This window comes from Homo sapiens, chromosome 2 (assembly GCF_000001405.40).
Source record: "Homo sapiens chromosome 2, GRCh38.p14 Primary Assembly".
Classification (NCBI taxonomy): Eukaryota; Metazoa; Chordata; class Mammalia; order Primates; family Hominidae; genus Homo; species Homo sapiens.
Window position 1 is genome coordinate 124734323 of NC_000002.12, and position 24132 is coordinate 124758454.

The 24132-nt window shown below is 39.1% G+C and overlaps 1 protein-coding gene across 3 annotated transcripts in view; it reads left to right on the top strand.

Annotated features, from left to right (window-relative positions):
- CNTNAP5 (contactin associated protein family member 5) overlaps nucleotides 1-24132 on the top strand; it is an 895933-nt gene that overhangs the window by 709036 nt on the left and 162765 nt on the right. For all 3 annotated transcript variants that reach the window (NM_001367498.1, XM_017003316.2, NM_130773.4), the window contains exon 14: nucleotides 12907-13063. In NM_001367498.1, coding sequence (NP_001354427.1) covers nucleotides 12907-13063 — 157 coding nt within the window. The remainder of the gene's footprint in view (nucleotides 1-12906; nucleotides 13064-24132) is intronic.

Below are 24132 nucleotides of genomic sequence, written 5' to 3' on the forward strand. Positions count from 1 at the left end.
AGTGAGCATGAGAGAACGTTTGACACAGGAATTGGGACCTAGTGACTTTGTGTGTGTGTGTGAAGCAGGGTAAACAAAAATCACAAGAAATCTAACTGAACCTCACTGATATTTTCAAATGATGGAACAGAGTTTGCTGCAGAAATGAAGCAAAAGGGAATGGGAATGGGGGCTAGCGAAGAAAGAGTAACTGTGGGAGATGTTCTTTTGGGACTCTTGTAGCAAATTTGTGAGAAAAGTAGCATCATCACATGCACACTAGATTTATAGTTGACCAAGACAAAAGCAAAGCAACTGCCTGTTTTTAATTCTAATAAGAATAACCAGAAATTTGGTGACCTTCTCTCATTTCCAAGTTAACCTTTATTTTTTCTCTGTATTTTATTTGTCTCCACTTATCATCCTACCTTTCTTTAGATGGATCTGCTGTAACCTAACGCATGCGATTTGGTAAGAGTAAAACCTAAAACTAAGTAGCTCATTAGTGTTTAGCAATCCGTGGTGTCATCGAACAAGAATTCCTCATAAAAGAGAGGGGATAGAGGCCTGAAAATTTTAAATAAAGTTCAAACCTTGTAATTAGTGATTCTAAAATTTAGGTGTGTAAACTTGAGTAAAGTTTTAGTGTCACCTGATAAGTGTGAAGTAAATGAAGAATCTTGGGCTGTACTCTCCAAGTGTCTGGGAAGTTTTCAAAAACCCATATCCTGGGTAAAATGCATTAATGTATGGCTGTGTGATATCCATTTTAATGTTGTTGACAGCTTTGGGCAGAGAATTCTAGCTTTCCCCTCTCTATATATGTACCCCCTTTCCTCCACAATAATTAATTTTTAGTTGAATCAATGACTGCCCATCCAAAAAACAAACAAACAAACAAATAAAACATGTCCGTAAGACATCCCAGATCATTCTGATTCAAGTGGCCAGAGGCTATACTTTGAGAGATGCTGATATAAGACTTCTAAGGAAAAATTTCAGCTGATTCCCAGTTACATGATTAGCCTATCACTCCTAGGTAGCTACTGAGAAAAAATATAGAGGTTTAGGCCAATTAGACTTCATAGAAACCATGATACTTATTAGAACAATTATTTCTACAAGACTTTTTTTTTTTTGCTTTTCTGTTAATTTGTTTTTTAGATAAATCAATAGATAGACTAATACAGTTGGAAAGACAATATATTTGGGAATATCCCCAAGAGGGTTGAGGATACATACTCAATAATGATCTGTAGTTTTACCAATGTAATGATTATTTGATTTATACTATTTTAATATTGATTCAAGAACAAGTGCTGTGAAAATATATAGTACTCTTTTATTCCCTTCTCTAATAGGACCAGGTTTCACATAATATGTAAAAATATTGGGATTTGGAGCCATAAGATCTAAATTCAAGATCCTTTTTATTTTCTGTGTGATTTTGGGGAATTTGCTAATCCATTGTTAGCTACCATTTTTTATCTGTAAGATGAGAATGAGTATCTTCACAGCTTTGTTGAGAGGGTTGAATGAGTTATGTGATGTGAACCTCGTTTCGAATGTTAGTGTTACGGATATCCAACTTTCCTCACTGGTTTGTAAACTGAAATGGCAGGTGTATTCATAAAATAAATGACTTTATGCTGGGCACGGTGGCTCACGCCTGTAATCACAGCACTTTGGGAGGCTGAGGCGGGCAGATCACCTGAGGTCAGGAGTTCGATACCACCCTGGCCAACATGGTGAAACTCTGTCTCTACAAAAATACAAAAATTAGCTGGGCATGATGACGGGTGCCTGTAATCCCAGCTATTCGAGAGACTGAGGTGGGAGAATCACTAGAACCAGGGAGGTGGAGGTTGCAGTGAGCAGAGATCACGCCATTGCACTCCAGACTGTGCAACAGAGAAAGACTCTGTCTAAACAAAAGGAAACAAAACAAAACAAAACAAAAAATGACTTTAGATTTTTCCCCTGACACTGTACTCTCCACTAAATAGCCATTTTTCTTCCTTTTGCTTTCCACATATTGCTTAATATTGTACGTCAAATTTATTTCATTCTAAATTGAATTAAAAATAATGTTTAACATTTTCTTTCCCTTATCCTTTCATTGTGAAGAACTTGATGGCAGGATTCATAAGTGTTTTGCCTTTTATACTAACCAGGTTCAATCAGACAAGAGTCTTGACCATTGCAGATGTTTTATATCGGTTTGTTTAATCCATGAATGAACTGATATGTGAAAACCTTACTGTATGGTGGTCTCATTCTATGCCACACTTATAGGAAGCATTTATTCAAAGGCTTAATAGATGTCTCTTTTTGGAGATGTGACTAAAATGGAAAAAAAGCACTTGATTTCTTCAATGATAACCTAAAATGGCAAAGATGAATGCACCTATATAGAAGCTAAAGGCATCATAATCATATATATTTCTGCAAAACACATTTTTTAATGTCATCTATAGAAAATCTTTCTGGGTTGTTTCTTTTTTTTGGCATTTGGTCATTTGTTCATTCAGCAAATATGTAGTTAGTTCTTAGTGCAAGCAAGGCACCATTCTCTATGTTGGATATACAGTCATGAACAAGCCATAAAATGCCCTTTTCCTAATTCCAATGGGGAATACATTATACAAACAAAGAAAAATAAACAAAAATAATGATTTCAGGTTGTAGTCAGTACTCTTAAGAACAATAGGCTGGGAGCAGTGGCTCACACCTGTAATCTCAGTACTTTGGGAGGCTGAGGCAGGTAGATCATGAGGTCAGGAGTTTGAGACCAGCCTGACCAACATAGAGAAACCCTATCTCTTCTAAAAATACAAAAATTAGCCAGACGTGATTGTATGCTCTTGTAATCCCAACTACTCAGGAGGCTGAGGCAGGAGAATTGCTTGAACCTGGGAGGCGGAGGTTGCAGTGAGCTGAGATCACAATAATGCACTCCAGCCTGGGCGACAGAGCGAGACTCCATCTCAAAAAAAAAAAAAAAATTGGGAACGATAGCGTGATGTTGGAGTGCTTTGGATAGGGTTAACTGGAAATAATTAAATGGTTAATTTCAGGACCCAGTGAAAGACATCAGCCTCTATGAAGACCCATGGGAGGACGGGTTCAGGCAGAGAGCAGCAAGCATCAAAGAGCATGTGCGAGGGCTGGCAAGGAGGCCAGTACAGCTGGAGGGCAGGGCACAGGCTGGATTGTGGAATAAGACGTAAGGCTGAGAAATCTGCAGGACCACATGCACAGGGTTTCATGGGCCATGGCGAGAAGGTGGGATTTGTTTCTTGTTGCAATAGGGAACTATTGGGAAATTTCAATCAGAGGTAAATCAAGTGATCCTTACTTTAAAAGTCCCTTTTGGATGCTACAAAAATAACTTTTGGAGGATGGAACAAAAATGGAGGCAAGCATTTTACTTTTGAGTCTATTGTAATTACCCACGGAAGAGATCGTTATGGCTGTGGCTAGGGTCTGTCGTCGACTAGCTGAGTTACTAGCAGGTAATTTTACCTCTATCTATGCCTTTGTTTTCTCATCTGCAAAGGGGAAATAAAGGTATTTACCTCATAGTGTTGTTGTGGAGAGTAAATAAGCTAGAACATTAAAAAAAAGCATGAATCTGCTTGGAATATTTTAAATGCTCAATTAATTCTGGATGTTTTTATTAGTATCATGAGTCTAAATATACACAATGGCTTTAGTAGCCAGATTTATTGCAATTCTTAGTTTCTAGATTGTGTGTACATATCAGATATTTTACTTTTCCAACTCTGCTTTTCATTCATTATTTTTTTTACTGTGTGAATCGGTATAAGTTAAACTATGCTGAGGTCATGAACATGCCCCACACTAAATCTCTGAGGCTTAACACAATAGAGGTTTCTTTATTACATCACAGCTTGATGAAGAGTTGAGAGTCCTCCCTCTTTCTTTTCACTCTGCATTTGAAAACTAATGCTTTTGTCGTATCAGGGAAATTGTGTAGTAAACTGAAGATCTTACTCCAATGCTGAGTTGTTCCTTTATTGTTATCAGTTCCTAAAGATTTATAAGAGTGTCTCAAAATGTTCATTTTTATCTGTAAGTCTCGTGTTATTTCATGATGTTTCCAGCACATTGGAAAGTATCAAGGTCTGCCGGGCAAGGTGGCTCACACCTGTAATCTCAGCACTTTGGGAGGTTGAGGCAGGCAGATCAACTGAGGTCAGGAGTTCAAGACCAGGCTGGCCAACATGGTGAAACCCCGTCCTACTAAAAATAAAAAATTAGCCGGGTGTGGCGGCACACGCCTGTAGTCCCAGCTACTCTAGAGGCTGTGGCAGGAGAATCCCTTGAACCTGGCAGGCAGAGGTTGCAGTGAGCCGAGATTATGCCACTGTACTCTAGCCTGGGAGACAGAGTGAGACTCCATCAAAAAAAAAAAAAGAAAGAAAGAAAGAAAAAAGAAAGTATCAAGGTCTGGGAGTCTTTGTGAAGGTGGATGTTCAGGACAGGAGCTATGCAGGTTCTCAGATGTCTGGAGCCTGTAGCCCACATTTTGCTCAGTCATCGTGTTACTCTGTCATTTAACCTTACTGGGATCCTTCAATGAGGCACTTAGCAAAAAATTGTACAATAAACAAAAGTATTTTTATATTCTCCTACAAAAACTCACACAATGCCCAAAGAATCATTTAAGTTAATCACGTTGTCCATCTCTTTGTCTAACCATGAAGGATCCCCATAGTCCATTCTAGAGAGCTTTGCCTAGTCCAGCTTGAAATGATCCCATCAAAATGACTTTTATCATTTGTTTTGAGAGGCGGTACCATTAATCTTTTCTGTTTCCCCCTCTCTCTTTCTGGCTCACTTCAATTCAACAGGCAGGGAGAAGAGAACATTGAACAACATTATAAAAATGTTAATTCCTAATGTCACGGACTAGCCCTTAATCACACTATTAGACATATGTTCTGAATTAACGATCTTGACCAGCAAGCAGGAAGACGAAGATTGACTTTGATGAGTGCCTGCCATTATTTTCAAAGATGGATGAAGTTGTTTTTCTTTCTGACTAAATGTTTTCTCAGAAACGGTATTCTATTTAGAAAGAAAGAGCATATAAAACACTTTCTTTTGTTGGCAGAGTCTTCTTTTCTAAATCAGCATTTTGATGGTGTGTGTTTTGTTCATATAGTGAGACATGTGCTGCAATCACTGGTAATCTCTTGGCCTTATAACTTTGGTGGCCTCGTTCTCTAGATTTATTTTTTAAGCCCCCAGCGCTTAACTGCAAGCAATGAAATAAAGCATGTTTAGTATGTACAGAAATCTCATTATCCCAAACAGTCATTTCCTAAAGACGACTGCGGTGAAAATCAGATCTCCTTTTCTTTGTGATCTTTACCTGCACAAATTCTTTCTCCACGGCACACTTTGTCGAAGTCCTCCTCAACACCAAGTCTCTGAGCCTCTGCTCAAATGCCATCATTTGCATAAAACTGTTCCCACGACCCCTGGTGAGAAGTCATATTTTCTTACTCTGGGCTTTTCTAGAATTTTATTAACTGCTCTCTTTGGCACTGATCTCACTCTGACTTCCATTACTCTTAGCTGTGTGCGGGACCTCCTTCCTATAAATGTTATGAGCTCTTTTAGGGTAGCAAAAGTTCATTAAAGTTTATATCACTCACGTATTACACCATGACCTTTCACAGGATACAGTTAAACCATTGAATATAATATATGCAATTCACATCATTACATTTAATTATATAATTTTATGAATTATATATTTAATTTATATATAAATTAGTAATTTTATACAATATGAATATAATATTTAATTTACATATAATTATATATGTGTGTATACACATGCACATACACACACACAAAACTTGCAACTTTGCATCATTCTATGGGCAGAGGCTATGAGAAAACTGTACAAGATCTGGTTTCATTAGGTTACAGTTAAGTGACCAGTTGTGAGAATAGTTTCTTCAAAGTTCTATGAAGAGTTTTTAACTGAATGCATGGGTAAGTGGCATCGAGACTTAAAAAGATGAGGCAGGACCATTACTATCATGGAAAACTGCTATCTGCATTGCAGTGACAGCCAAGCACCGTGTTTGAAGGGGACAAAGGCATGGAAGTCAGGTTACACTGCCAATCATTGGGGCTGGGTTGGCACAGACTCCAGGTGAACCCAGATTGGGTTTATATAAATCACATGTGGGACGGAAGAAGGGCAGATGGGAAAGACACTAGCGGTTTCTAACCATATTGCAAACACCTTGAAATTAGAGCCATCATTGATCTTTCTATGTACTTCTTTATAACCCCTACAGAATTTATTTTCACGTGATTTATACCTAATTTGTATTTTATCAGTTATTATTGCAAAAATGCTATATAACCAGTTGCCAAAGCTCAGTGACATACAACATGCAGTCCTTATTCTCACACTCACTCATCTGTGCATCCACTGGGTAACTGTGCTTCCTGAGTTACATTCTGGGGCCGTGGCTGGAGAGGTCATGACCTGCTGGGGCATGTTCCCAGGGTCATGTCAAGGAAGCTCTGGAAGGGCAGGTGGAAACATGCATGCCTCTTGAGGTCTACACTGGAACTGAACCATCATCATTTCTGCACACATTCCATGGAGCTACACAAGTAGCAAGGCCAAGCCTCACATCAAGTGGGGCAGTGGGTTTACTCCACCCCTAAACCCACTGCCACATGTATTTGCTCATCAGTGCAGCAAATTTCTTTTACTCCTGCAACTTCAAACATTGTATGAATAAAAGAAATGAGAACTAAAACTCTTCTTGTTGGCATACTGAGTTTGCCAGAATCTAAGGCTATGAGAATACATTACATCTAAACTTAGAAAAATGTAAAGAGAAACAATAACCACAAAGGCAACAACAGCTCAACAGAGCACAGTCTGTATACATCTATGGAACTTTCTAGCTCCATTCTGATATTGTCTGGAATTTTGCTTGGACTGTTCATAGCAACGGGAAGAGGCCAGATTCTCTTGGCCGTAGCTGCAGTTATCACCAGGAAGCTGTTGTGTTTACTGTTTCCCAGTTGTCAAAACTTTAATTGAAACAATTGCAAGATTACAGAGAGATCTCCAGTTTGAATTATGTTCAACAGCTCCCAATGATTAAGCCATACAATTGTGCAACTAACCTGTTTGAATTCTCTTCAATTTCTTACAATATAAAAATCATCATTTGAACTAATCATGTACAAATTAGATTTGTGTTTAGGTCTTCTATAAAACATATATATTTTCTCTGTCTTTGAACCATTTCTCTGCATATAATATATACATATTCTACTTGAGGAAACTTTATGGTCAGGATAGTGTGGTTATTCACTCATTAGCAAAATCCCTAGACTTGATCTGCTGGAATGATTTAAATTCAAGTATAGGAGTCTATATAGGCTGAAATCTCTGATTTAACAAATGAAGATGCAATATTGTTTCCCGCTTTTACTTCCTCTCCCTCCTCCTCCTTATTCTCTCTCTTTCTTTCTCTCACACATACATTCCCTCCCCAAACTTACACTCTCTTTATAAGACATTCTAGAATATGCAACTTTATTTTTTATTTCTGTCTTTTTGTGGCTCAATTGAGATAATTCTTTTCCAAGTTTATGATGCATTATCCTGTTTAGGATAATTAGAAAAATAGAAACCTGCAGCTGGCAATCTAAATTGGAGGTAAAACACACCTAGAAATTTCTGCAGTGGAGAAACAGTGAAGATATTTGGACTTTACATCTACACTGATTAAGAGGGGAAGAGGCTCACTGTGTTGAAATGACTGGGGGAAGTTCACTGGCAAGGAGTTTTATAGGCAGACCTAAGACAACATACCCTTATGCAGTCTGCTCTGCCAAATGGGTTAAATAGTAGTTTTGCAAACTTTTTTCTTTTAATTTGTTTGTCAAATACTCTGCTTTAAAATTGGGGAAGAATTTAGGTCCATTAAAACACTTTGAGTAAAAACTCAGAAAGACACTGAACATTTGAAAAGAAGACAGCTACAGGGCTTAAACTGTGCCTCTCAGTTTGCATGTTGTCTGCAACAAAGCAAAACACACTCATGGTTATCCCCTTGAAACTTGGGGTAGGGAGATCCTGAGAAGGTTCCAGCACTCAATGCTGACATTGCGTTGTGCTATAGTATTATTATTGTGTGGCAGTGTGTAAGATCACCTTCTGTGATCACTTACTGTGTACACTCTAAAACAAATACTTTCTTAGGAGGATTTATAGATATAGATATATATTAAACATATTACACGCACAGACACACACACACACACACACACACACATATATATATATATGTAATTTGAGTTTTCCCATACCTTGTTTATATGCATGAGGTCATATGACAATAATATTTGCATGGAAGTAATGTAAACTCATGCAATTCCTCAGTCGTATTTTTTTTATACCCTGCTTACAGAGGACCTTGACAACTCCCTAAGAGCTTTGTGGCTGCTACTGGGAGTTCCTGGAGGAGTCTCCCATCAGGTCCCAGTCCTCTTGTTTTCTTAATCTTGGCTGTTTTGTGGAAGTCCTTGCGTTGCATGGCTGCTGAGGCTGTGTATGAAAACTCTGGTTTCCTAGCCAAGGAGCTGGCCTCACAAATCCCCAGAGCCCCAGGCCCCGGAAGCACAGTGCATAACGCAGACCTCTACCGCGGAGAGATATATATGTCACATGCAGGCAGCTGGGGGATAGACAGAGTTTTTCCCCATTTGCTTCTTGTCAAAGTGAAGTGCCTTCCTGGTTTTCAAAGCAAAATTGTGGAACCTCCTTAAGCCCTGCTCACCAGATTTCATAGAGTTCTTTGTTTATCAGAAGCATCAAAACAGGTTTATATTTGGTTTAATAACCCCATTTGGTGGAAGAAATAGAGATTTCAGAGATTTAAAATATTGATCCATTAAGAGATACTAAGTTTCTGCTTAGCTTTTGAATAACTCTTCTGTATTAGGGGAAAATGTGTTGTGAGTCCCGCCTCCACAGCAAAGAAGTCAGAATTTAAATCCCGAATCTCGTTTCTAGCTGGGACCCAAGTATGCAACTTGTGCTTTACCCATCAGCCCCTCCTGTGAGATGCTCTGATGGGAAGATAGCCCCAGGAAGCAGGCTCTATGTGAACCTTCTTTTTTGCAGACACAGGGTCTGCAGAAACTCATCTTTGGGGAGACAGGGGTTGCAGCTCAAGATACTTGCAGGGAGGTCATGGTGGTGCAGACAGCATGTCGACTGAATCCGTCTCTAGGCGTTCAGCATTCGGGGGCAGCCAGCTGGGCAGGGTTTTATATTTATGATTCTGTGGTAGTCCAGCATCTTCATAATAATACATTTTGGCTTGGAACAGGCAGAGTGAATTCTTAGCTTCTATTCAAGAACCTGATCAATTAAGTTCTATTTTATCTGTTTTATGCTACCCATTTTTTTTCCTGTTAAACCTTCCTATTGGAACATTTGCAACATTTTGCAAAGTGCAGTTTAAAAACCTAGCCATAGATTCTAAAAAAATGCCCTGATTTGTTCTTTATGTTGTTCATTTACTTTGTCTGCAATGAGCTTTTCCAGATGGCCACAGGTGACTTATCCGTGGCCTATGAGTTTTGTTCAGGATGTCTTTTCATCAAAGTCTTTCCTGATTGGTATGGTTTAAAATTGTAACACACCCTTCTTCATAGCACACTTGCTGTCCTTAGCCTGTTTTATATTTTCCATATATGATAGGGTTTGGCTGTGTCCCCACCCAAATCTCATCCTGAATTGTAGCTCCCATGATTCCCATGTGTTGTGGGAGGGACCAGGTGGGAGATAATTGAATCATGGGTGCAATTTGCCCCATTCTGTTCTCGTGGTAGTGAATAAGTCTTACAAGATCTGATGATTTTATAAGGGGTTTACCCTTTCACTTGGCACTCAGTTCTCTCTTATCCATGTAAGACATGTCTTTTGCCTTCCACCATGACGGTGAGGCCTCTCCAGTCAGATGGAATTGTGAGTCCATTAATCCTCTTTTTCTTTATAAATTACCCAGTCTTAGGTGTGTTTTTATCAGCAGCATGAAAATGCACTAATACAACATACCTCTTATCCCTTTCTAAATACTAAATTATATAAGCATTTTTATTGTCATTTCCTATTAATTACCATGTAACGAGCAGGAGGGCATGTTTTGTTTGTTTCTTTATTTTGGTATGTTTTCTTACGTGATTTATTCCAAGTGCCTAGAAACTTGTCTGAAATAGTATGAATCCTTAGTAAATATTTGTTGAATGAATTCATAGTTTGTAAATAAAATATTTGTAATCATGCTTTGTTCCTTCACTTTTGAAAGAAACTCCTGTCAGGAAAGAAAAAGTTCAATTTCTGCAATGGCCAAAATTTACAGCCTAGGTTGTGTTTTTTCTTCCTGACTACATGGTTAGCATCAAGACTTGAGGCGAGTCAAACCCCTGTTTGATCCTCAGTATCTTCATTTGCTATAATCTCTCCAGTACTGCACAGAGACCAAGACACAAAGATGGGACATCTAAAGGGAAAATCTAGCAATAATCCTCCGGTTTTCATATATAGATACATAATTTTTTGTTCTCTCTCTTTTTCTTCTTGCTTGTTGAGAGTCATTTGGTTAAAACGTGTTTCAACTTTTAAACTTCTCAACCTTTAAGCCAGACATTAGGAGGGAGGCACTAAGAGGCCAAAGCGGTGCAAGATGTTGATGGATTCAAAACGGAATTAAGAGTTGGGCTGCTAATGGAACTTCTAGGGAGTAAAAACACCAAATAAGAATTGGTAAATCTACTAGAAGCAACACATCCACCAGAAGTTGCACACAAACTGGCTGTTCAGAGCTTATACCATTAGTAACAATGCAATTAATGTGCTTATAGCCTTTCGGGTAGTTCATAAACAAAGTATCTCTTGCTCATTGGATTTGACTGTGTAGTCTGGATTCTAGAGTCTGAGAGTAGAGGCCTGGGCTGTTGAAAGGAGGGAGAGTTTGAGAGATTTCTTTCCATTCTTGGGCCCAAGGACAACACTGACAAATGTATTCAAATACAAAATGCTTCACCCTCATGCTGGCTGGACTCATGCTGTGATGACCCACCTAAGCTTACTCCATTCCTGAATGTGCTCCATGCTCCAAATAAGCCTGCCAGTCCTCTAGGCCAGGTGTGCTTGGCTCACCCGAGCAGGGATTTAGGAAGAAAACAATTCATGTGTAGTATTTTACAGTGATTTACAGTTATTTGAAACTAAAGAAAATGAATTCATATTGTTTATAACTATTCTTTAAAAGAACACACTGGTTAACAGACATCTCCAATTGAAACTCTAGCTTTAAAGATGACATAGGAATTGAACTTACTTTAGGCAGAGTGTGGACTGCCATGTTGGGATGACTGTAGTCCTCCAGGCCCTCTGCTTCATGAATCAGCACCCCTAAAATGCTGATGATTTTCAAAGTACCTTCTGTATGTTTTTCTCATGACCTTCAGATTAATGAAAGCTTTAGGTTGCCTGGTCTCTTCCTACTTACCTCAGTGGCTTTCATGGGGATGATAGCCTGGAGGCAAGTAAGAGAAAGTTGTTGCTCTTTGTATATAGAGATTAATTGTGATTTTTATGTTTGTACATAAGAATATGCATGTAAACTAGAATCTTGATTAGGCAAAATTTCAACCTTGTAACATCCTCAGACAATTGCTATTATTCACTGTAAAATTGCAAATGATATAAAGTGGCCCTTAATAAATATTTCTTTCATTTTTTAAATAAGCACATGTTAAGCACCTGTTGTATATCAATCACAAATAAGACAATTACCAAAGGGAGCCCAGGCCTCACATCCTTCAGCCTAATGATGTATAACACTTTCATCTGCCTGTCTTGTTTTGGATGCAGTATCACTTTAAGAATGATAATTCTAAGCTACTGAAATATTCTCAATCATAAAAAATCCAACAGATTTCACTAAACTACATTTTGTAAAGAAAAAAATTGAGAAGGACAAGACTCAAAAATGGTTTCCAGTTAGCTATAAAGACTGGAAATCACAGGTTGCATACCACCTTTATGTGGGTTAAATATAACCTTCACAAGGGTTTGTTTGGTCCACATATTATCAGCTTTAACAGTGCTTTTATTTTTTTTCCCCCAAATCTTTGAGCTTAGAACTAATGATGTCTTTTTAAAAAACAAAATCAGAGGATATGGCAACTGCAGGGCTACTATTATCCTGAGAGAAATCAATGGGAGGCCATCAGAACCAGCCCTCTTACACAGCCAACCTCTTCTTCACCTGAGTCTTTAACTTCCTCATTGTCTACCCAGAACTGAGGACAGAGGTCAGGCTAATCTTGGCCCTAGTGCTCTCATTTTCTCTTTGGTAGTTTTAAAAGAAAGTTATTATTTTTTGAAATTCATATATTAAAATATTTTGGTCTAAATTCTGACCTAACTTACTCAATCGTGCCTGATCTGGTAAGAATTCAAGTTTACGACACTGCCTCTCAGCATTGCCATTCATCAATATTTGACTATACAAACATTTTGATGAAAATGTCGTTTATATGTGTACATATATGGGCACATATAGATGTAGAAATACAAATTTAAATATATAGAAAGAGTGAGAAAGAGAGACAGAGATGGAAAAAGAAGGAACAAAAAAATGAGATAACGAAACAAAGAAATGAAGAAAGCAAGCAAAGGGAAGGGGGGATGTGAGGGAGGGAAGAAGACAGGAAGGGAAGGAGATTATCTATATACATCTATTCTCCAAGATATTTTCAGCTCAGTTTCTGTGCCATCCCCTGTGTTACTTCAGGCTTGCCCTACCCTGACTGGTGGAATATCTTGTCTTCCAGATGGAACACCATTTACCTGGTGGATTGGGCGGTCCAATGAAAGGCACCCTTACTGGGGAGGTTCCCCTCCTGGGGTCCAGCAGTGTGAGTGTGGCCTAGACGAGAGCTGCCTGGACATTCAGCACTTTTGCAATTGCGACGCTGACAAGGATGAATGGTAATGAGAATCTCCATCTTTCTGCAATTGTAGAGAAAGCACATTAATTGATGCATAAAATTCCCCAAGACAGAAGGACATGGATGAGAAATTCAATACAAACTGGAGCTCCCCCGATGGTGACTTTTGTTTTTTAACCTTAAAAATGGTAAATTCTAGTGTTTTCAGTATGACAACTTATGTTTGGTACATATAAGCATGTGGTCATACCATCAGCTGCTGCTTCTTCTTTTTTTTTTTTTTTTTTTTTTTTGAGACAGAGTCTCACTCTGTCACCAGGCTGGAGTGCAGTGTCGCGATCTTGGCTCACTGCAACCTCCGCCTGCCAGGTTCAAGCAATTTTCCTGCCTCAGCCTCCTGAGTAGCTGGGAGCAAAAGCACATGCCACCACTCCTAACTCTTCTTTTTTTTTTTTTTTTTTTTTTTTTTTTTAGTTGAGACAAGAGTTTCACCATGTTGGCCAGGATGGTCTTGATATCTTGACCTCGTGATCCACCTGCCTCGGCTTCCCAAAGTGCTGGGATTACAGGCATGAGCCACCGCACTTGGCCCCCACCAGCTTCTTATATTCAGAACTTCCCATTTCAAACAAGGAATGGCATGCAATATTGAGCTTTGCGATTGAGTCAGGGTATTTATGATATGTGGACTATATGTTTTGGGGGGAGAGAGTGAGAGAGATAGGGATGTGGGGTTATATAGGCTGTTTCTTCATGCTCCCATTGATGTTTCAGTCACCAGCCTTCCCTTTTGCTACCAATAAACACATAGCAAAGGAAATGTATATTTATTAAGCATCTATTAAATTTCATATAATTATCTTACTTTTGCTTCTTAATGTTGAGTAGTATCTATTGCAGAGATGTTAAATAATTTTCCCAGTGTCAAACATGTCTGTCAAGTGATAGATACAGAATCAGAAATCAGCCATTTCTGCAGCCAGAGTTTCTTAGTCTCCTACACCAACTTACTTCTGTAAAATCAATTTAGTTTGAAGCTTCCATGCCCATTACATTTACTCTTCTTTTATCCTCCAGGTGAACTGCTAGTTTTTTACTGTATTGATTGTGAAAATATGTACAGATCATTTCCAAATATACTTTTGTTTTGACTGAATTTAAAGCATTCTTTGGTTTTGGCTTAGCAATTTTGCTTACTTCATCAAATGCTACTTAATTTTAATTAAAAATTCTTATGTTAAGCTAGTCTCAATCCCCAAATTTCCCTTTAGTGTTTTTACTCACTCCTCAAACTGTTAACAGCAAGGACTATTTCACATAAAATATAAAGTTAAGTCAAAATCTCAGTTCAGCAAGGAAAGGACCAGGCATCTGTCTTCATTGGGTCCTAGGAGATGTGTATTATCACTTCAGAACACCCTAGGGCTGCTTGGGCACCAGGGCAGGTTACCCGAGTGCCTTCTCCTAAACTCAAGCTGGCCGAAGTTATAGGGTAATGAATTTTGCCTCTTCATGTGGGTAAAATCAGATATAGTTAACCACAGGTAGAATGGGCTTCTGCATTCTGTGAGCCCCCACTTTATCCTGCAGCGAATTCTATCTCATTATTGCGGATGCCTACAAACCAACTATGATTTGTAGCCTGGGTGGAGGCCATGTCTCTTTAAACATTATACCTCTCAAGACCTACAGAAGACATTCAGTGGTAATTAGTTGAACAGATTAATTTAGACAATCTTTAAAGAAGAGAATTATCGCAAGATGGCACCTATGAGCTTGGGAGGTGTGTTGAAGTGTTAGATGGTTGTGCTGCCGTAAAACATATTCAAACATCTGCTCCCAATCGCTTGGATTCACTCATTCCTTTGATTTATAGGTTTACTCTCACAGTGCATATTAGACACTATGTGTATAGTCAAAGAAACAGATATAGGAGCTAGAATAGGTAGAAGTGCTTCCCCCTAGTTACTCTTGACTCTGACCCCTCCCCTCCCCTCCCTCCTCCTTCCCTCTCTCCGTCCTTCCCTCTCTCCCTTCCTTCCTTCCTTCCTTCCTTCTTTCCTTCCTTCCTTTCTCTCTCTCTCTTTCTTTCTTCCTTAGACGGAGTCTTGCTCTGTCGCCCAGGCTGGGGTGCAATGATGCAATCTCTGCTCACTGCAACCTCTGCTTCCAGGGTTCAAGCGATTCTCCTGCCTCAGGCTCCTGAGTAGCTGGTATTACAGGGCACACCACCACGCCTAGCTAAGGTTTAGTACAGACGGGGTTTCTCCATATTGGTCAGGCTGGTCTCGAGCTCCTGACCTCATGATTCTCCTGCCTCGACCTCCCAAAGTGCTGGGATTACAGGCGTGAGCCAACGCTCCCGGCAGACTCTGAGTCCTTTCTTAGCTGCCTTCTTGATCTTTGCTCACTGTTTCTTTTCCTTTACCCCTTTCTTTATAGGACATTTGCCTACTGAACACTACCTCAGTGTCTCCTCTTACTTGGGAACAACTGACCCAGGCTTAAATTACTGCACACTGAGGGGCAGGGAAAAGCGTGGCCTTATATCCCTTAATTGGGCTGAAGGGCTCTGTGTCTCCTTTCCTAAAACTTTCCACTGATCTCTTCCATTCCGCTCCCAGCCTCTCCCTCCTTTGACTTGCTCAATGTTTCACTCTGAACCCCTCATCTGATAATTTCACTTCATCATCTAGAGTGAGCCCAGAGGGATTCTTCATAATGTCTTCTCTCACCTTGATCATTCCAGAAGTTATTACATATTTCATGACCCTTTCCATTTCCTTTAGAGCCAGGGACTATTTTCCATCCAGTGCCATTTTCTGTGGCAAGAGACCTCGCTCAGGGCACCAGAATTTATTATTAGATAAGGTCCTGTTCAACAATCAGCCTATCAAAGGTCAAGAGAAAAGGACTGAACTTCCCCTCTTAAGGATGCCTGACTCACTCCTGGATGTCCCATAGCAGCACGTTGACCATCTTTGGGCAAAGTCTAGGTGAGAACAGATCAGAAAGTTTCTTCTGTCATTCTCAAGAGGGAGTAGAGACTGATATTCTGATTCAACACTTCTGAGCTTCATTCATTGTCTTAGTGCAAGTCATAGCTTGTGATAAAGGGTTTTTATAAATACTTTATTATAGAAGCATTTATATGTATTACTTTATCAGATATTTACTGATTTATCACTTACTTAGTGCCTACTGTGTGCCAGACGGATAGTCTGCTGTGCAGAGAAAGTCAGGGGCATTACGGTCCCTGCCCTTGAGGAACCCTCAGAACACTGGAAAGAAAATGCTATTTAGTTATTAGGTGGGTACAAAAGTAATGGTGGTTTTTGTCATTTAAAAGTAGTGGCAAGGTCGGACATAGTGGCTCACACCTGTAATCCCAGCACTTTGGGAGGCCGAGGTGGGCGGATCACGAGGTCAGGAGCTCGAGACCAACCTGGCCAACACGGTGAAACCCCATCTCTACTAAAAATACAAAAATTAGCTGGGCATGGTGGTGCGTGCCTGTAGTTTCAGCTACTCAGGAGGCTGAGGCAGAAGAATCACTTGAACCCAGAAGGTGGAGGTTGCAGTGAGCCGAGATCGCGCCACTGCACTCCAGCCTAGTGACAGATTGAGACTCCATCTCAAAAAAAAAAAAAAAAAAAAAAAGTAGTGGCAAAAACTGCCATGAGTTTTGCACCAACCTAATAGAAATACATGGGTTTAAAAAATCTGGCGAGAGAAATAAGCACAGATGTGCCTGAACCTGGGGTAGAAATGAGCTGGGAAATTTAGATTGTGAAGAGAAGCAGCAGTTACGTTTTGAAGGAGCAGAAGCAGCTAGTTAAATAAATAAACAAACTGGTGTACTACAAGTAGGGGTTGGGGGTAGGGGGAACATCTGTGTGCAGTGGGGAAATTTAAAATAATATAAAAATCACCGGCCTCTTAAACCACAAATATATTGGTGTGGTTGTTGCACAGTCGTCATTTGAGAAATGTACAGAAGATAAAGGAAAGGAGGAAGGTCAAATTCAGGTTATGAAGCTCCTTGTATGGAAATAACAGTGAGCTAGCTTTGTCTGTACAAGGATTATGGGCATACAATAAGTATTCACACATGACACCAGGCATATCTTTGTGAAAATGCATTTATTATTTATCTATCAAACTCTACTATTTACTGCAGAAAGGAAAAATACAAAAGCTAACACACTTGTGAAATAGTTAATCAAGTTCAACATACATGCAACTTATTTCTTGACAACTGACTTTCCACACGTTTCAAATTTTTGTTTTAGACCACCACACCTCTTTTTATATCAGTGGTGCTCTGTGTGCCTCAGAGAAACTTTGGATATTCTTGCCTTGTAAAATTCCCTCAAGCTTTTGCTCTTGTGAAATTAATCAGAAAACTGACTTGGCCTTGTATAGCACGCAGTGGATAGCGGTTGAATATGTTACAACTCCTAGATAGTATTGTCACTTAAATGTTACCTATCATATCCTGAATTGTTCTTAATATTTTATATACTGTACCTCATATTAACATCTCAATAACTCTTGAGGTTGGTTTTATTATTTCTTTTCCCCAGAAAAAAGAAACTGAGTCTCAGAGATGATAAATGGTTCGGTTAAGGTCGCTTGACTAAGGGGCAGAGTAGGCATTTTAGCTGAATCTAAGGATGCCCTTAATGATTATGTCAAAGGAGCTGCTAATGTTGGAGTTTTGAATAATAGCCAGTCAGTAAGGATGCTAGAGAGAACTCTCCTACAATCTCTCAAATCACATCACCGCAGCATGCATGTTTCTTTTTGCTAAGCCAGGGTGCTTAGGGAAACTGGGGCATCTTCTAAGCCTCTGGTGATTGATAATTTTTTGTTTTGTTTTATTATTTTTTTGAGTAAGCTTCTCACTTTGTTGCCCAGGCTGTTCTTGAACTCCTGGGTTCAAGCAATCCTCCCATCTCAGCCTCCCAAAGCATTGGGACTATAGGTGCATTCAACCATGGCCGTCTTGTTCTATTTTAATAAGCCACTGTAACTGAATAACATACATTTCAATAAGACCCAAGTAAATGAAGATAATGAGTGCATGTTGTAGGGCTGAGTGAAAGTGACACAGCTCACAAGGTTGAGGTGGGTGGGGAGAGAAAAAAAAGTCATTCAGTGAACCTCAAAAGCACATTTCCTTCTTAGAGTAAGAGGAAAGCTTTAACTACCCGTCGGAATTAGCTGATTTCCTAGGGGTTTTTCTATCTCAGCCAAATCACTAAATTGTAATGAAAAAGGAATAAATGAAGGAACATATAAAGAATAATAATTTTACTGATTAATGACTGTCTGCAAAGGAACTTCTCTCAACATAATCATTCAATCTCTAGGAGTCCTCCCAACTAGATGGTTTCTGAACCAGCTACTTTATAGTGCTGGCTTGTTGAGAGTAAGAAAGGAAACTCTGGTGACAGCTCTGGGTTGCAGACCCTGGAGACAGCACAGGAGAGTGTTGGGCTGTGTGGAAGGTGGAAAAACAGTCATCCAGCAAGAGGCGTCAAAGGCTGGTGGAGCAGCATGTTGGAGAAGGCAGAGAGAATACACAATGTCCCTCATGATGATGACCCGTGGCCCAAATGAAGAGTCTTCTCATCCAAACAACCAGGTTGCCCTAAAGTGAAGCTCTTTTACTTGGCAGTAGAACATTCTTTTATTTATTTTAGAAGAAAGTACAGAAGTTTTCATTTGATTTTTAGTAACTCTGTTCTTTGCCTCTCGCCCTTAGTGTACCCTTGTATAAAGTGATATGGCAAAAATAGGAAGAGAAAATGATGTAAGGTGTAAATTCCGGTCATCTGATAATCCAAAAAAGAAAATATTTTATTCTTTTCCATAAAGAATAGAATATTTTTATGGGATGTTATCTTTTTAGCACATGGAATCCTGGAGCTTTAAGCTACTACTTACTCTTTGGTTCTACTTTTCTGTTACAGAGAAATTATTTAATAAATGTTGCTAAATTCATGAATGAATGATGGATGAATGATTTCTGTTAGACAGATTTTTACCAATGTATTTTTAGATAGGTCAGGCCATAGCCATGATAGAATTAGTTGAAATTTACTTCCTTGTTAGCCATTACTCCTGTTTCACAATCTCACAATAAATGCTTACCAAATTTTAACCTACATGCCTTTTGCTACAGATTGATTTTCTTCTGGCTATCAAAAGTAGTTATTTCTCTTTCTATGCCCGGATTATTTCATTTACCATCATATATTCCAGGTTTATTCATGTTATTGAAAAGGGCAGGGTTTTCTTAATTTGCCAAGCTTGAACAGTAGTTCATTGGTTATATACACATTTTCGTTATTCATTTATTCACTGATGGACGCTGAGATTGTTTCCATGTGAGGGGATAGATATGTCAGGTAGCTTGATTTAGCCATTCCACAATTTATACATATGTCAACACATCACGTTATACCCTATAAATATATACAATTTTTGTTGTTCAATTAAATGATTAATTTTTTAAAAAGTAGTTACAAGTGAACTTCCTGTTCCAAAAGTTATCTTTGTATACATTTGCCTTCAAAATAAGCTTTTGTTTTGGTGAATGCATGTCTAATCCAGGCCCCAGGACATTGCCCTCCCCAAGGGCCCTGCATTCCCTTCCCATGAGATGCAGAATGAGATGATGCTGGATGCCTCCTAGTGGTGTCGAATTTTGCTGTTTCCTCACCTGGGTCATTATTTGATCTTTCAGAACTCTTTCGGTTTCCTCAAAACCTTCACCTCTGAGATTCCCAGGCTCCATGCATTAAGGGCGCCTTAGACCACATAGTATCTTGAGAAGGGGCCCCAATCCTGAATTCTGAGAGAAATAACAATTCACCTCAGGGCACACTAACGTTCTATCCCTTATTTAAAAATAATAATAAATTAGGCAATCTCTATTGGTTGAATTTTATTATTCATTAATCTGTTTATGAGCTACTCTACTGCTTATTGAGTTTTGAAAGTGCTTGTTCTCTAGGCAGACAGGAATTAGGAAGGGTTTATGTGGGTTTTTGCTCACTCGGTCCCTGAATTCCCAGACACATCTTGCAAACTAATCAGCGCCAGCCTCTTGTGTTGGAGAGGAGTGTGCTTGGCATGCGGTGGGTCCTCCATGCCTTAACTGCTGAATGAGAGGATGCATGAATGAAGAGATGGGACATTTTCTCTCTCCCCATCCACACTTTCTAGTTATTTTCTGCTGTTTCAGTCATTGAATATACTCTTAAAGTATACATTCTGGAGTAACTTGATACTGGCTTCCTTATGCTAATGTTCCCATGACTGGGTTTCAATTTTTTTTTATTTTGTTTTTAAGGCAGAATCTCACTCTGTCACCCAGGCTCAAGTGCAGTGGTGTGATCTTGGCTCACCGCAGCCTCAAACTCCTGACCTCAAGCAATCCTCACGCGTCGAACTCTCAAAGTTATGGGATTACAGGCGTGAACCATTGTGCCCAGCCTACATTTTTTTTTTTAGGCAGAATGTTTTGTGAGGTACTTCAATGGAAAGAATAAAAAGGCATTGCCCAATTAAGAGATAAAGAAAAAATATGAAAATAGAAAAAAAGAACTTGTAATAACAGGTTGAAAATTCAAAACCAAAATATCGCATCATTACTTTGTAGAATTCTAAATGAGGTAAATAGCTGATATTTTGCCTGGCGTAGCATTAAAGCAGGTTTTTTTTTTCTTTCTTTTTATTTAATGATGCCACCATCCTATCCAACTTTTAGGGAAAAATATCTAATATGAACAGCCTATCATCCATGAGTTCTGGAAAACAAAACATAGCTATGAAATACTTTTTTTTTTATCTTGTGGAAAACAAAACATACCCTGAGGTTTCTATTACATCAGTTATCTGTCAAGCCTTATAAATATACTATCACTAAATTGTCTGTAAAGTCTCATTATTTGAGCAATTGCAAAATTGTATCAGAAATAAAACTCAAAGTCATTATAGGGATTATTATTTTGCATTTACATGAAATGATCCTCTCCCTGAGGAGGTGGCTTTACCACAGGGATATTCAGAACTCACCAGTCAGAACACAGATACACAAGGAGACATTCCTTACAACTTCTTCTTGATCAGAATTTACTGGAACTCTTGGCCAAGTATGTCTGAAGGGGACAGCTCTGACAGAATGGGAAGCTGGTGATGCTGTTCTCATGTTCCTTTCATTCTCTCTGTCTTTGTCATTTCTACTCTGCCTGGGGCTGCTTCCGTGGTCCATGGCAATGCTCTCTGTGAACTACAAATAAATCCCAATGTCTGCATTTTTTAAAAGTGTAGTGCCTTCATCATGTAGCAGAAGGAGAAATAATTCCATCTCCTTTGCACATCTGTCTTATAGGTATTTTGTGAAAGTGTCATGAGCTAATTCATGTAATAACACTTAGAATACACCCAATTGTAGCTATTTTTGCTGGTATCATTGTCATTTTCTGGATATAAAATGTAATGAATCTCTCAGTAATATTTTATTATGTAATGGAAAGAACAAATTGTGGATTTGTCACTTATTAACTAGAAAGCCTAAGTCATTTAGCGTCTCTGAGCTTCTGGTTTCTAATTTATTTTTTAAAAGTGGGGGAATATCTATCTCTGGGAAATACTGGCTGAGTTAGCAATAATTTGTGCACCCAGCAGATGTGGCATGGAGTCAGAGCTCAAAGATTTATCAACCATCTTTTTATTATTATTTTCTCCATTTTCAGCCGATCTTAAATAAGCTATAAAAGGCAACATTGATTTATAGAAGTTAAATGGATGTCTAAGAAAAGTCTGTATGCATGTATTGCAAATCAAAACCACAATGAGATACCATCTTATACCAGTCAGAATGGCTATTAAAAAGCCATGAAAACAACAGATGCTAGAGAGGTTGTGGAGAAATAGGAACACGTTTACACTGTGGGTGGGAGTGTAAATTAGTTCAATCATTTTTGAACACAGTGTGGCGATTCCTCAAAGACTTAGACAGAACTATCATTTGACTGAGCAATTCCATTACTGGGCGTATACCCAAAGGAATAGAAACCATTTTATGATAAAGATACATGCACATGTCTGTTCATTGCAGCACTATTCTCTATAGCAAAGGCATGAAATCCACCTAAGTGCCCATCAATGATAGACTGGATAAAGAAAATGTGGTACATATATACCATGAAATACTATGCAGTCATAAAAGTGAATGAGATCATGTGCTTTGCAGGGACATGGATGGAGCTGAAAGCCTTTATTCTCAGTAAATTAACACAGGAGGAGGAAACCAAATACTGCATCTTCTCACTTAAAAGTGGGGGTCGACTGATGAGAACACATGAACATATCGGGGTGGGGAACAACACACACTGGGGCCTGTAGGAGGGTTGGGAGTGGGAGGAGGGAGAGCATCAGGAAGAATAGCTACTGGATGCTGGGCTTAAAAACTAAGTGATGGGATGATCTGTGCAGCAAACCACCATGGCACATGTTTACCTATGTAATAAACTTGCACATCTTGCACATGTACCCCTGAAATTAAAAGTTGGAAATAAAAAGAAAAGAAACTAAAGGGGAAAGAAAGAAAAGTATAAATGCATGTATGCAATGAACAAAAACAAAACAGAAGTAATAGCATGCCAGCACAAATTTCATTCAACCACCAAACTTCGAGTGGAGTAAGGAAATAGCACTGAGGTTCCTTCTCCCCAAAATAGGGCTGCTGTCTGAAAGTTTATTCTTAAAATTCACCATGTAACTGATGGATCTGCCCTGTGTGTAAATAAACCAAGAGATTCCTTGTGAATGTGGAACAGAAGAGCTCATGGACTCCCAGAAATCCTGTCAAGGTGATCCATGGGTAATCTCAGGGAATGCAGGGCTGGAAAATGATTGCAAATTAGTAAACTAAAACCTAGTCAATTGAGCTGTGTCTTATGTGGAGAAAGCCTGTGTGCACAGAATGGGGATGGTCACCCTGAGACCTAAGGAGGACAGTGTGAGGACTCAGGGCCTGGCTCTGTGATTCCAGCACAGTCCAGAGGCGGCACAGACTAATGTGAGAAACACCAGCTTCCACTCTTGAGAGAGCTGCTGTCGGCAGGTGGGAGACCCGTGTTGGAGCACAGGAGACATTGGTGGTTATAGGCAAATGCTTTGGCATCTAAATCTGTGTGCAAATCCTGGCCTTTCCATTTGCAAATGATAAACCTTGAGAAGTTTCATCACCTTCCTGAATCTCAGTTATTGCTCCTGTACAATGCAGGAAATGTCACAATATTTTCCTAGCGTTATTCTCAGGATTAAGTGAGCTCATGAGTGAAACTCTACTTCAATGCTCCCATGGCCAGGGAAGGCATCCACGGATATAAGTTGCTCATCTGAGTCCCCAAACCACCAGTACATAATAAAGCAGCAACCTCAAACTCTAGCAGTGCCTCTAATTTAGGGATCTTATTTTTTAAAAAATAGTTTATCTCTGGAAAAGGCAACAGTGATTTAAAATAGAATTTTATTGTCCACTTTATAAATATTTTGGTATTGGGACTTTGCCTGTGAGAGGTAGAGACCTCTTAAAAGGTTTTAAGCAATAAAGTATGAATCATGGTACATATTATGTAAACATGTTTCTTGGAATAATAAGAAGAATGATAGGAATTAAGAGAGTGGATAGATTAGAAGCAGGGATCCAGTTTATGTCACCAGCCCCAAAGCCTAGGCAGAACCATGAGATCTCAAAATAAAACTGAGTCCGGCAGCATGAGGATAAAGCAGTTGAATGGAGAGATATGAAGAAGGTGAAATTGGTGGAAATTGTTAATTAAGAGTGAGGGAGGAAGTAAGAAAGAAATGAAGACTCTTATGCTTATGATCTCAGCAACTGAGTGTACAGGACAAGTCATTCACAGAGTTGAGTGACAGACAGGTGGGAAAGTTGACCCCTGAGAAAATGACTAGTGAAGGAGGTTGAACATCTTAGTTTAAGGTGCCTGATGACATCCAAGGGAAGGATTTAGTAGACAGTCAAATAAATATATATTCATGAAGGAACATGTGTGTGTGTGTCTGTGT